Source organism: Homo sapiens, chromosome 5 (assembly GCF_000001405.40).
Source record: "Homo sapiens chromosome 5, GRCh38.p14 Primary Assembly".
Taxonomy (NCBI): domain Eukaryota; kingdom Metazoa; phylum Chordata; class Mammalia; order Primates; family Hominidae; genus Homo; species Homo sapiens.
Genome location: NC_000005.10, coordinates 180,452,232 through 180,465,706, shown reverse-complemented (window position 1 = coordinate 180,465,706; position 13,475 = coordinate 180,452,232). Strand labels below are relative to the sequence as shown.

The 13,475-nt window shown below is 52.1% G+C and overlaps 1 long non-coding RNA gene across 1 annotated transcript; it reads left to right on the top strand.

The window, feature by feature from the left end:
• Positions 1–410: 410 nt before the first annotated feature.
• On the top strand, positions 411–2,691 carry LOC124901153 (uncharacterized). The gene is made up of 2 exons (XR_007059087.1): positions 411–732; positions 1,148–2,691. It is a non-coding gene; the product is annotated as an uncharacterized LOC124901153 (long non-coding RNA).
• The last annotated feature ends 10,784 nt before the right edge of the window (positions 2,692–13,475 follow it).

Sequence of the window (13,475 nt, the reverse complement as noted above, 5' to 3'; positions counted from 1 at the left end):
GGGCGAGCATCCTGTCAGTAGCAGGGAGGTGGGGTGCACCTAGTGTGTCTGGAGTTTGTCCCTTCCGGTGGGTTTGTAGTCTCGCTGACTTTAAGAATGAAGCTGCGGACCTTCACAGTGAGTGTTACAGCTCTTAAAGGTGGTGTGTCCGGAGTTTCTTCCTTCCGGTGGGTTCCTGGTCTCGTTGACTTCAAGAATGAAGCCGCAGCCCTTCACGGTGAGTGTTAACAGCTCTCAAAGGTGGTACAGACCCAAAGAGTGAGCAACAGCAAGATTTACTGTGAAGAGGGAATCAACGAAACTTCCACACCGTGGAACAGGACCCTAGGGAGTTGCTACTACTGGCCAGGGGTGGGGTGGGTGGCCAGCTTTTTTTATTCCTTTATTTGTCCTTGCCCACATCCTGCTGATTGGTCCATTTTACAGAGCACTGATTGGTCCATTTTACAGACTGCTGATTGGTCCATTTTACAAACCTCCAGCTAGCCACAAAGCACGGATTGGTGCATTTTTACAGAGCACTGATTGGCACATTTACAAACCTCTGGCTAGCCACAGAGCATTGATTGGTGCATTTTACAATCCTAGCTACAGAGTGCTGATTGGTGCATTTTACAATCCTCTCGTAAGACAGAAAAGTTCTCCAAGTCCCCACTGGACCCAGGAAGTCCAGCTGGCTTCACCTCTCGCTAGGGGCACCTGCAGGAGACGCAGCAGATATAGGCATCTTTGGTGAGTATCCACTCCCTCTTATGGTGGCTCCCTTAGGGCTCGTTCCTGTCCCTCTCTCAGTAGATGGGGTTCCAGCCAGATGGCCCCTTCTGTGCCCTGCAACAGGCCTGGGGCCAAGGCCTGAAGGCTGACCCATAGCATTCCTTTCCCTGTCAAAATTCCTGCTGCTGAGATGGGCACGAGTTCAACCCAGGATGACAGACACCATTCAGGGACTTTTGGAGGGAATGTTTACTTTGGGTTTATTGAGCTGGGTGTGTGGAAGTCAGAAGTGCTGGAGCCTGTGAGGGTGAAGGCAACACGAACTGCAGCTGACTGGGGGAGGTTGGGGAGTGGGGGAGGCACAGGCCTGGGGTCGGGGACGGGACCCTGGCCAGGGATGCCCAGCATCTACACATATGGTCCTTTATCCCAGATCCCATCTTCACTGGGTTTCCATCCCCTCCAAGAAGAGTCCAGCGAGGCTCAGAGCCCAGCAGTCTGAGGCCGGAGCGTGATGTCTTGATGGAGTGCAGCAGCAGGCGGCCACAGGGGGGCTCCAGGTGGAGGCAGGGTGGACAGAGGGTGGCCTTGGAGGTGCGTGGGGCGGGGGCAGGGAGAGTCAGGGGCCTGAGCCAAGACCACGTTGTTGATGGGAGCTGAGGCCCAGAAGACAGGTGCTGGGAAGGGCCAGGGAGTCTTCCAGAGTCAAGATCCCAGAGCCTCCACCTCCCACCCAATGCTGGGATTTGTAGCTGGGGGTGGGCCGGAGACAGGAGGGGGACTGGGAAGATGGCCCTGATACTTTCCAGAGGAAGCCAGCTTTCTCAGGGGCTGCAGGAGCTGTTCGTTCAACAAACCTCAGACCTGTGCTCACCCCTGTGAGGTGGGGGGCGTGGGACCTGGGTTAGACCCAGTTCTGACCTTGCCCTCCAGAGCCCACAAGGATAACGGGAGGCAGGCCTGGTCCTCACACCAGGTGCCCAGCATCCTGCCCAGGCTGTGCTGGGGCTGACCACCCCACGATGAGGGTCCATTTCTACCCGCTCTGCTGCAGAAAGGACAGGGTCTGTCTAGGGACAGATGTGGAGACCCTGAAAGATGCAGCAGCAGGATGGGCCTGGGTGGGAGGAGCTGGAGCTGGAGGAAGCTGGGCACCAGCTGTGAGCCCCACCTCACATCTCCAGCTCACCTGGACTTCTCAGTAATCCCTCAGGCTGGCCTGGGCTGCAGAGGGGGTCCCAGCTGTATCAGCACGCAAGGCCTGCTCTGGGGCAGGCTGGGAAGCCCTGGTTTGTCAGAGAACTGAAACCACACTGAGCAGACGCGGCTGCAACCCATGCAGAGAGAGAAGAGCAGCTTTCAGGGCTGCTGACTTTGCACTGGAACCCCAGATGACTCCCACAGACCCTGCTAGACCTCTCCACCAGGCTGCAGCTTCCAGGAGGAGGAGATGCCCCATGGCTGATGCAACAAGTTACCACAAACCTGGTGGCTAACACAAGTTTATTCTCTACAGTTCTGGAGGCCACAAGTCTAAAGTCAGTTGTACGGGGTAAAGTCAAGGTGTCAGCGGGGCTGGTTCCCTCTGGAGGCTCCAGAGGAGAAGCTGCTCCTGGCCTCTGCCAGCTCCTAAGGGCTGCCAGCATTCCTTGGCTTGTGGCCACAACCTCCAGTCTCTGCCTCCCTGGTCACGTCGCATTCTCGTCTGTGTGTAATCTCTCTTCCACCTTCTCTTCTGTGTGTAGTCTCTTTTCCTCTCTCTTGTAAGGACACTTGTGATTACATTTAGGGCCCACCTGGCTAACCCAGGACAACCTTTCCATCCCAAGATCCTTAGCTTCGCCAGGTGCAGTGGCTCACACCTGTAATCCCAGCATTTTGGGAGGCCGAGATGGGTGGATCACTTGAGGCCAGAAGTTTGAGATCAGCCTGGCCAACATGGTGAAACCCCCTCTTTAATAAAAAATACAAAAATTAGCCAGTTGTGGTGCATGCCTGTAATCCCAGTTGCTCGGGAGGCTGAAGCAGGACAATCCCTTGAACCCAGGAGGCAGTTTGCAGTGAGCCGAGATTGTGCTAGTGCACTCCATCCTGGGCAAGGAAGTGAGACTCCATCTCAAAAAAAATCCTGGCCAGGGCCTGTAATCCCAGCACTTTGGGAGGCTGAGGCGGGTGGATCACGAGGTCAGGAGATTGAGACCATCCTGGCTAACAAGGTGAAACCCCATCTCTACTAAAAATACAAAAAAAAAATTTAGCAGGGCATGGTGGCGGGTGCCTGTAATCCCAGCTACTCGGGAGGCTGAGGCAGGAGAATGGTGTGAACCCGGGAGGCGGAGCTTGCAGTGAGCCGAGATCGTGCCACTGCACTCCAGCCTGGGCGACAGAGCGAGACTCCATCTCAAAAAGAAAAAAGAAAATCCTGGCTGGGCGTGGTGGCTCATGCCTGTAATCCTAGCACTTTGGGAGGCCAAGTTGGGCGGATCACCTGAGGTCAGGAGTTTGAGACCAGCCTATTCAACATGATGAAACCTGGTCTCTACTAAAAATACAAAAAATTAGCCGGGTGTGCTGGCAGGTGCCTGTAATCCCAGCTACTTGGGAGGCTGAGGCAGGAGAATCACTTGAACCCAGGAGGTGGAGGTTGCAGTGAGCCGAGATCATGCCACTGAACTCCAGCCTGGGTGACAAGAGCAAAACTCCATCTCAAGGCCAGGTGCGGTGGCTCATGCCTTATAAACCCAGCACTTTGGGAGGCCGAGGCAGGTGGATCATGAGGTCAGGAGATCAAGACCTTCCTGGCCAACATGGTGAAACCCTGTCTCTACTAAAAATACAAATATTAGCTGGGCATGGTGGTGGGCACCTGTAGTCCCAGCTACTTGGGAGGCTGAGGCAGAACAATTGCTTGAACTTGGGAGGAGGAGGAGCTTGCAGTGAGCCGAGATTGCACCACTGCATCCCAGCCTGGGCGACAGAGCAAGACTCCGTCTCAAAAAAAAAGAATCCTTACCTTAATCACACCTGCAGAGCTCCTTCATGCCACAGAAGGCAACGGTTGTGTGCTGCAGGGATTAGGACTGGATGTCTTTGGGGCCATCATTCAGCTGACCACACTCTCCCTCCTTGAGGAGACCTAGCCTCACCTGGAGCATCCTTCATTTCCACAGGCACTCATGGTTGGGCTCCTGGGAAGAAGCTGCTGTCAGGATATGCCAGCCTCCGGGGCTGAGCAGGCTCCCACCCCGCACCTGGCCTGGGGAGCCCAGGAGCTTGGTGAACCACCAAGGGGGCAGCAGGAGCTATGTGGCTCCTGCAGTGTGGCTGTGGCTCCCCATGAAGTGGGGCCTGGAAAAACGTGATCCCACTCTCCCAAAGCAGGAGGGGGTGGCTGGGGATGCACATTCCCAGGCCCAGGAACCTGGGACTTCCAGAAGCTCCCTTGGCACTCGGGTGCTATTGAGGCCTGGGCACCACTGGGGTGCCGTTCTCTGCTGGCGAGCTTAGGGTCCCTCTGAGAATCACTGTCCTGGGAGCCGTTTACATTCGGAGCAATTCCTTCCTCTGTAGGTCTGACCCTGAGGCCCTATGAGTCTGGGGAACAGATGGCTGAGCCCCACGGCCTCTCTCCAGCCTGGGTGGGCAGCAGTGCGTGTGTGGGACATCTCTACGAATAAGGGACAAAAGCCACGTCACCAAGGGACTGACCTTGTGAGGATGGGTCAGGGAGGACTGATCCCCTCCGCCCCTCACCCAAGGAGCAGAGGTGAAAACCCAGCTCACTGCCAGGAGCATGAGGGACAGAGGGCGGAGAACAATGTCACTCGTCTGCTTTGGGTGCCACCCACGCTCTGCAGCCCCAAGTGGCATCTGCTCCCCCAGGTGCTCAGGGCTCGCCCGCCTCACCCCAGGATTCTCCGTCTTGGCCGCTCTGAGTCCTAAGGGAATGTTGTCTTCCTGCTATGATCTCTTCCCCAATCAGGTCACAAGCACCGGCTCCCCGCCCATGAGAGAGGAAGGCCTGAGACACAGCATGGAGCTGGAAGTCCTTGTGCTTCACCACCGACTCCTGCTGGGGGCCAGCTTGGCCTCCCATAGGCAGAGCATGCTTCTCTTTACTGACCACATGTCTTCCCCAGGGCCCTACTAGCTTCTGTCCAGGGCAGGGTGGAGAAAGGGGAAAGAGCTTCCCAATGGGGGGTTGGGACTTGAAGTCCCATGATGGCCCTACAGCTCAGGACCCCAGCCACAGGAGACACCACCTAGAGTGCCTCCTTTCCTCCATGACACCCAGCACTACATCTGTGTCATTCCTGTTTCTTTGGAGAACAGTCTGTCCTTCCCACCATGGTAGCCACATGATCTGAGTGTTGTGATCACCTCCCATACACCAGGTGCTGTTCTAGGCACTCTGAGTACAGCAGTGACCAATCCAGACGCTCTGCCCTATGGAGCTTATATTCTAGTGGAGGCCAAGAATAGGTGCTGGTAGGGCTTAGATTCGAGTACACACGTGGTTAAAACATGGCTAACTGGGAGGCTGTTTAGGGTGAGATGCTCCGGAACCTTGAGTTCTCATGTGAGCAAATGGAAACCTACCTCAGAAGCTCAGGGTGAACGGTCACAGCCTGGGAGAGCAAAGCCAAAGCTTAACCCGTCAGGAGCCACCACCGCAACTCTCACTGGGGACTTTCCAGTTTGACCAATCAAATATCTTCTTCTTTTGTTGTTGTTGTTGTTTTGAGACGGAGTCTCACTCTGTCGCCCAGGCTGGAGTGAGGTGGCGCGATCTCGGCTCACTGCAAGCTCCGCCTCCCGGGTTCACGCCATTCTCCTGCCTCAGCCTCCCGAGTAGCTGGGACTACAGGTGCCCACCACCACACCCAGCTGATTTTTTGTATTTTTAGTAGAGACAGGGTTTCACCATGTCAGCCAGGACGGTCTCGATCTCCTGACCTTGTGATCCGCCCGCCTCGGCCTCCCAAAGTGCTGGAATTTACAGGCATGAGCCACGGCACCCAGCTCAAATATCTCCTTTGTCTTGTTTTGGCCAACACCTTAATAAAGTTTTCCCCTGAGCCCCCAGGTGGAGTGCTGCCGCTTATGGTCTGGTGCTGCCTGATTCACAAATCGCTGAATGCTCAAACTAATGAACATTTTTGTTGTTGTCGAGATGGGATCTTGCTGTGTCACCCAGGCTGGAGTGCAGTGATCATCGTGTGTCCGGAATTGGTGGGTTCTTGGTCTCACTGACTTCAAGAAGGAAGCTGGTGGCCCTCGAGGTGAGTGTTACGGTTCTTAAAAGCAGTGTGTCCGGAGTTTGTTCCTTCTGATGGTTCATGGTCTCGCCGGCTCGGGAGTGAAGCTGCCGACCTAGTGGATCTTGCACAGGGGCCGCAGGTGGAGCTGCCGGCCAGTCCCGCGCTGTGTGCCCACACTCCTCAGCTCTTGGGCGGTCGATGGGACCGCGCCCCATGGAGCACGGGGTGGCGCTCGTCAGGGAGGCTCGGGCCGAGCAGGAGCCCACGGGAGTGGGGGTGGGGTGTGCTCAGGCACGGCGGGCTGCAGGTCCCGAGCCCTGCCCCGCGGGGAGGCAGCTGAGGCCCGACGAGAATTCGAGCACAGCACCAGCAGGCCGGCACTGCTGGGGGACCCGGTGCACCCTCCGCAGCTGCTGGCCCGGGTGCTAAGCCCCTCACTGCCCGGGGCCGGTGGCGCCGGCCGGCTCCAAGTGTGGGGCCCACCCAGCCCGCGCCCACCCAGAACTTCTGCTGGCCCGCAAGCGCCGCACGCAGCCCCGGTTCCTGCCCGCGCCTCTCCCTCCACACCTCCCCGCAAGCTGAGGGAGCCGTCCGGCCTCGGCCGGCCCAGAGAGGGGCTCCCACAGTGCAGCGGCGGGCTGAAGGGCTCCTCAAGCACAGCCAGAGTGGGCACCGAGACCGAGGAGGCGCCGAGAGCGAGCGAGGGCTGCGAGGGCTGCCAGCACGCTGTCACCTCTCAATAGCTTCCTGCAGGCTCAAACTGCTGGGCTCAAGCAATCCTCCCACATCAGCCTCCCAAAGTGCTGAGATTACAGGTGTGAGCCACTGTTAGCAGAACACCAGCGGTTCACTCTGGGACCCACTGCTCACCGCACAGAGAGCCAACGACTGGGACGAGTATTGCCAAGGAAGAAAGCTTTAATCGGGCGCTGCAGCCAGAGAGATGGGAGCTCACTCTCAACTCCATCTCTGACCTACTAAAACTAGGGGTCTGTATATTAGGAAGAAATGTAACAATGTTCAAGAAAATAGGAACTGGGATGAAATGTAACAATGTGTAAGAAAACAGGAACTTGAGAGGGTAAGGGAGCAATCCTGATGGATGAGGGGCCTGGAGTCTCATTGTCTGGATGTCATGATCTGGTGAGTTTCAGTTCTTGGATACTTTTTTTTGAGAGGCCTGAAGGTGTTTCCCAAGGAAGGAACTCAGATAAAACAAGTGTAAGGTTCAAAAGGGTCAATTTCTATGTTTGTCCAAACAACTATCTTTGGGACAATTGGGTCAGTTTCACTACCATGCCTGGTCAAAAATTTCAGCCTGCCTAAATGTGACTTTTCAGGCCCCAGTTGGGACCATACTCAGCTATTCCCTTGTGAGGCACTGCCCACCTGCCACCAAATTAGGCCCTTGATGCCTGCTGGTCCAGTGGGTGTGTCCAGCCCTCGTCACAGGGGTTGACCTGCAGGGGCAAGGGGACATCCCCCTGAGCCAGGCACTGGGTATTCTTTCCAGCTGGAGTGGGGAGAAGCTCCTTCCCCCACTGGTCCACTGGAGGAGCCTGCCCTGTCTTCAGCCAGGGGAAGGCCGGCCTGAGTGAATGAAACCAACATACGATTGGAAAGAGATGGAGAGGAGGGGAAGAGGGGGTTCTGGTGGCCCTGGCCCTGGTTCCCATTGTCCCCCAAGGCCACTTGCCCCTGTCCTTCCTGTGTGTCCTATAGCCAATTGGAGTTGGCTTTTGAGTTGTTTGTATTTTTCATTTTCTGTATAGTATAATGTTTTGACATCTTTAAAAAGACCTTTCTGGCTGGGGAGAAGGAGAACTGCCCTCTAACTGGCCAATTTCTAGAGATAGCATATCTGGAGCACGCCTTCGATATATAAACTAACCATCCACAGCCAGGCCTCCTCCCTCAGGCCCGTACACACGCGAGGCAACATTCCTCTGCCTTCATCATTCCAGGGTCAGGCTGGGCACCTAGGGACCCCCACACTATAGTTTGGAGCCCAACTAGCCAGCCCTAAACTCTTCACATCTCCCTGCGTGGCCTCTCCCAATAAAGGCTGTGGCCTGGACTTTGCCTTGCCCCTCTTTTCTGTGTCCCGACCAAAACATGGTAGTCACATGGTCCTGCAGCATGTTCCGTGCCTCCTGTGTCTGTAGCATCCGTGAGCACAATCAGCTTTCTTTTCTTTCTTTCTTTTTTTCTGACACAGAGTCTCACTCTGTTGCCCAGGCTGGAGTGCAATTGTGTGATGTCGGCTCACTACAACCTCCGCCTCTTGGGTTTAAGCAATTCTCTTGTCTCAGCCTCCCGAGTAACTGGGATTACAGGCGAGTGCCACTGCGCCCAGCTAATTTTTGTATTTTTAGTAGAGACGAGGTTTCACCATGTTGGTCAGGCTGGTCTTGAACTCCTGACCTCAGGTGATCCGCCTGCCTCCACCTCCCAAAGTGCTGGGATTTCAGGCGTGAGCCACCACACCCAGCCTCAATCAGCTTTCTTTTCTTGTGTCTCTCCTGTGTCTAATTTTGTTGCTGTTGATCTGTTGCTGTTGCTGTTGATCTGATTGACCATCACAAAGCTAAAACCAAACACACACACACACACACACACACACACGAACTGAGTGGGGCATCATGACATGTGCCTGCAGTCCCATCTACTGGGGAGGATGAGGTGGGAGGATTGCTTGAACCCAGGGGTTCAAGGTTACAGTGAGCTACGATCATGCCACTGCATTCTGGCCTGGGCAACAGGTGAGACCTTGTCTCTATTTCAAAACAAAAACAAACAAAACCACAGAACAGTTTTCTCTCACTTCCTACCAGAAAGTCCTTCCCTTCCCTCCCCATATGTAAAACTCTTCCTTCTTTAAGCTCTAGTTTAATGTCACCTTCCCCAAGAAACCTACCCCGGTAGCCTCTGAAAGGGCCCCCTCTCTTCCCTGGGGCCCTGCAACCCTCAGTCAGATGTCATGCCTTTGTATCAGAGATGCTTAGTGCCTGGCTAGAGCCTAACTTAACAGTCAGGAAGTAGGATGGAAGTCCAAATTAGAGCAGATTGCCCATGGAATGGAGCTGATACAACTCTTTAAAGGAGAATATGTTAAAATGTGGCAAAAACTTTTAAAACAGTGCACCAGCCAGGTACAGTGACTCACATCTGTAAGCCCAACACTTTAGGAGGCCAATACTGGAGGATTGCTTCAGGCTGGGAGCTCAAGACCAGCTTGGGCAACATAGTGATGTTACCGGTGGAGGGTCTTGACTATGAGTTGTCCAGTTTCTTGGTGTTTTCAACAAAACATTGGAAAAAATGCACAAATGAAGCAATGAAAGAATGAAGCACAGATTTATTGAATGAAAGCATAGATTTATTGAAACGAAAGTACACGCCACAGAGTGGGAGTGGGTTTCAGTAAGCAGCTCAAGAGTCCCTGGTTACAGAATTTTCCGGGGTTTAAATACCCTCTAGAGGTTTCCCATTGGTTACTTGGTTATACCCTATGTAAATGAAGGAGTGGCCCCTGACCAGTCTGACTGGTTGCAGAAGGCAACCTAGGCTGAAGTGAAGTTACAAAGTTACACCTTGTGCAAACGTCTGATTGGTTGCAGGAGGGAACCAATCAGAGGCTGAAGTTACAAAGTTATACCCCTATGCAATTGAAGACTAGGCCCATGACCAGTCTGATTGGTTGCAGAAGGGGATCAATCAGAGGTACTTTGCATTTTTCTTCTGCCTCCCAGAAAGGTGGGGGAAGTTGCAAAGGGAGTGGCCTCTGATCCTTTTGTTACTTGGGTGTGGAAAGTTGGGGTTTTCATTTTGATTCAATTCTAGGAAGTCAGAGCAAATTGGCCTTAGGTTCTCTGCCTCCAGACCCTATTCTCCTGCCTCAGTGAGACCCTGTCTCTACAAAAAAATACAAAACATTAGCCAGGTATGGTGACGTGCGCCTGTAGCCCCAGGTACTTGGGAGGCTGAGGCAGGAGGATTGCTTGAGCCCAGGAGATTGAGAGTGCAGTGAGCTGTGATTCCAACACTGCACTCTGATCTAGGGGACAGAGTGACACCCTGTCTCTAAAAGCAAACAAAAATGCCGGGAGCAGTGGCTCACACCTGTAATTCCAGCACTTTGGGAGGCCGAGGCGGGCGGATCACGAGGTCAGGAGATCGAGACCATCCTGGCTAACACGGTGAAACCCCGTCTCTACTAAAAATACAAAAAATTAGCCGGGCGAGGTGGCGGGTGCCTGTAGTCCCAGCTACACGGGAGGCTGAGGCAGGAGAATGGCGTGAACCCGGGAGGCGGAACTTGCAGTGAGCCGAGATCGCACCACTGCACTCTGGCCTGGGCGACAGAGCGAGACTCCGTCTCAAAACAATAACAACAACAACACAAACAAAATAAAAAGGGTACATCATTGGCCCAAGACTGTCACTTTTTACAACCTACCCGTTGGAAGTAATCCTTAAAAATTAAAACAAAATGTTGAAGAATTATACCAAGAACAGCAGTCTCTTCATTTCCTGTTGTTCTATTTCATTATTTAGGCATTAACTTCCATATCTCTAAATAGCAGCTTCTATTCTGCTTCTTGGTTGTTCCATTTTAAGCTGCATTTATTGTGTTTCCACAATCCAAGATGAAAATCAGGCTCTTTCCTTCCCGCTGTGTCCCTAACCCCCCCACCCATTTTTAATCCCTCATCTTCCCAAGTATATGCAGTTTTACTGGCATTTTGGCTAGATTGCTATTCCAGAGTAATGGCATTGTGACTATGTAAATGCTATTCACAGCTGAACCATGTGGTACTGTAATTACTTTCCATGTCATAGAACAGCTTTTGTCTGTACTAGAGGCAGTGACTGTCATCTATATCTCTATGTACTTATCACTATTTTTTTTTTTTTTGAGATGGAGTCTCACTCTGTTGCCCAGGCTGGAGTGCAGGTGGTGCCATCTCGGCTCACTGCAGCCTCCACCTCCCGGGTTCAAGTGATTCTCCTGCCTCAGCCTTCTGAGTAGCTGGGATTACCAGCACTTGCCACCACGCCTGGCTAATTTTTGTATTTTTAATAGAGACGGGGTTTCATCCCATTGGCCAGGATGGTCTGAAACTCCTGACCTCAGGAGATCCAACTGCCTCAGCCTCACAAAGTGCTGGGATTACAGGTGTGAGCCACTGCACCCGGCCACTTTTCACTAATTTTATCCCCAAACTTTTCCCTGGTGAGATAAATCTACTTTCAATTGCATAAAAACACATTGGATGCCTTTGCAGATTTAACTTATTGAGGAACTCTCTTCTGAGGACTCCTGCTTTGCTCGTCTGGATGGGTGGCCCTCGTGCCTGGTACTAGCTTTCACTCAGGTGCCTCCTGTCACCATCCCCCAGGGCCTCTCCTTTGCCTCACTCCTGAGCTAGAGCCTCTCTTTCTTGGACTCTATGACTCCTCTTTTCTGTTTTTTCCCCCCACTGTGTTATTAACACATTCCATAGTAGCTTCTAGAAACCAGAAGCATGGGAGATAATTATTTTGAGAACCTGTATGTCTGCAAATGTCTTTAATCTACCCTTATACATGATTGGTGGCTTTCTAGGATATACACATCTAAGTTGGGAGTGTTGTTTTTCCCTATAATTCTGAAGATGCTTGCTTCCTTCCAGAGCTGTTGTGAAGACATCTGAAGCATTCTGATTGATCTTTCTTTCATGGAAGCTGTTTTTTTTCTTTCTATCTGGGAGCATATAAAATATGTGCTTTTCATTCAATGAGCTAACATTTCCTAGTGATGTGCTTTAGTGTTGGTGTGTTTTCATCCGTTGTGCAGAGCACTTGTTCTGGGCAGTGCTTTTTTTTATTCTCGAGGCTTAGGCTTCTGGTAGCTTCTTGACTATTTATTTGGTATCTCTGGCTCCTGTTTTCTCTGAAACTCCTGTTATTCAGATATTAGACTTCTTGCACTGGATTAGAAATTTTAAAATCTTTTGTGCCCCTCATATTTTCCATCTGTCTGTTGACCTTTATATTTTTGTGATGTTTTTCTTTTCTGAGATGGAGTCTCGCTCTGTCTCACCTAAGCTGGAGTGCAGTGGCGCGATCTCAGCTCATTGCAGCCTCTGTCGCCCGGTATGTCTGGAGTTGGTTCCTTCCGGTGGGTTCCTGGTGTGGCTGACTTCAAGAACGAAGCCGTGGACCTTCAAGGTGAGTGTTACAGCTCTTAAAGATGCCATGACCCAAAGAGTGAGCGGTAGCAAGGTTTATTGTGAAGAGTGAAAGAACAAAGCTTCCATAACTGGAAGGAGACCCAAAGGGTTGCTGCTCCTGGCTGGGGGGATGGCCACCTTTTATTCCCTTATTTGTCCCCGCCCATGTTCCGTTTTTGTCCTATCAGAGTGCCCTTTTTTCAATCCTCCCTGCAATTCACTACTTTTAGGATCCTGCTGATTGGTGCATTTTACAGAGCACTGATTGGTGCATTTTACAGAGCACTGATTGATGCATTTTACAATCCTCTTGCTAGCTACAGAGCACTGATTTGTGCGTTTTTACAGAGCACTGATTGGTGCATTTTACAATCCTCTTGCTAGCTACAGATCACTGATTGGTGAGTTTTACAATCCTAGCTACAGAGTGCTGATTGGTGCATTTTACAATACTCTTGTAAGAGAGAAAAGTTCTCCAAGTCCCCACTCCACCCAGGAAGTCCAGCTGGCTTCACCTCTCACTGGGTTCAAGCAGTTCTCCTGTCTCAGCCTCCCTAGTAGCTGAGACTACAGGCGTGTGCCACCAGACCCAGCTAATTTTGTATTTTATTTATTTATTTATTTATTTATTTATTTATTTATTTATTTTTGAGACTGAGTTTCACTCTTGCTGCCCAGGCTGGAGTGCAGTGGTGTGATCTCGGCTCACTGCAACCCCGCCTCCCAGGTTCAAGTGATTCTCTTGCCTCAGCCTCCTGAGCAGCTGGGATTACAGGCGTGCACCACCACGCCCAGCTAATTTTTTGTATTTTTAGTAGAGACGGGGGTTTCACCATGTTGGCCAGGCTGGTCTTGAACTCCTGACCTCAGGTGATCCACCCGACTTGGCGTCCCAAAGTGCTGGGATTACAGGCGTGAGCCACTGCACCCGGCCCATGTTTTTATTTTCTAAAAGCAGTTTTTTTCTCTGTCGTTTCTCACCCTTTTATTTTATTTTTATTTATTTATTTACTTATTTAGAGACAGAGTCTTCCTCTGTCACCCAGGCTGGAGTACAGTGGTGCAGTCTCAGCTCATTGCAACCTCCACCTCAGCTTCAAGTGATTCTTGTGCCTCAGTCTCCCGAGTAGCTGGAATTACAGGCGTGCACCACCACGCCCGGCTAATTTTTGTATTTTTAGTAGAGATGGGGTTTCACCGTGTTAGCCAGGCTAGTCTCAAACTTCTGACATCGTGATCTGCCTGCATCGGCTTCCCAAAGTGCTGGGATTACAGGTGTGAGTCA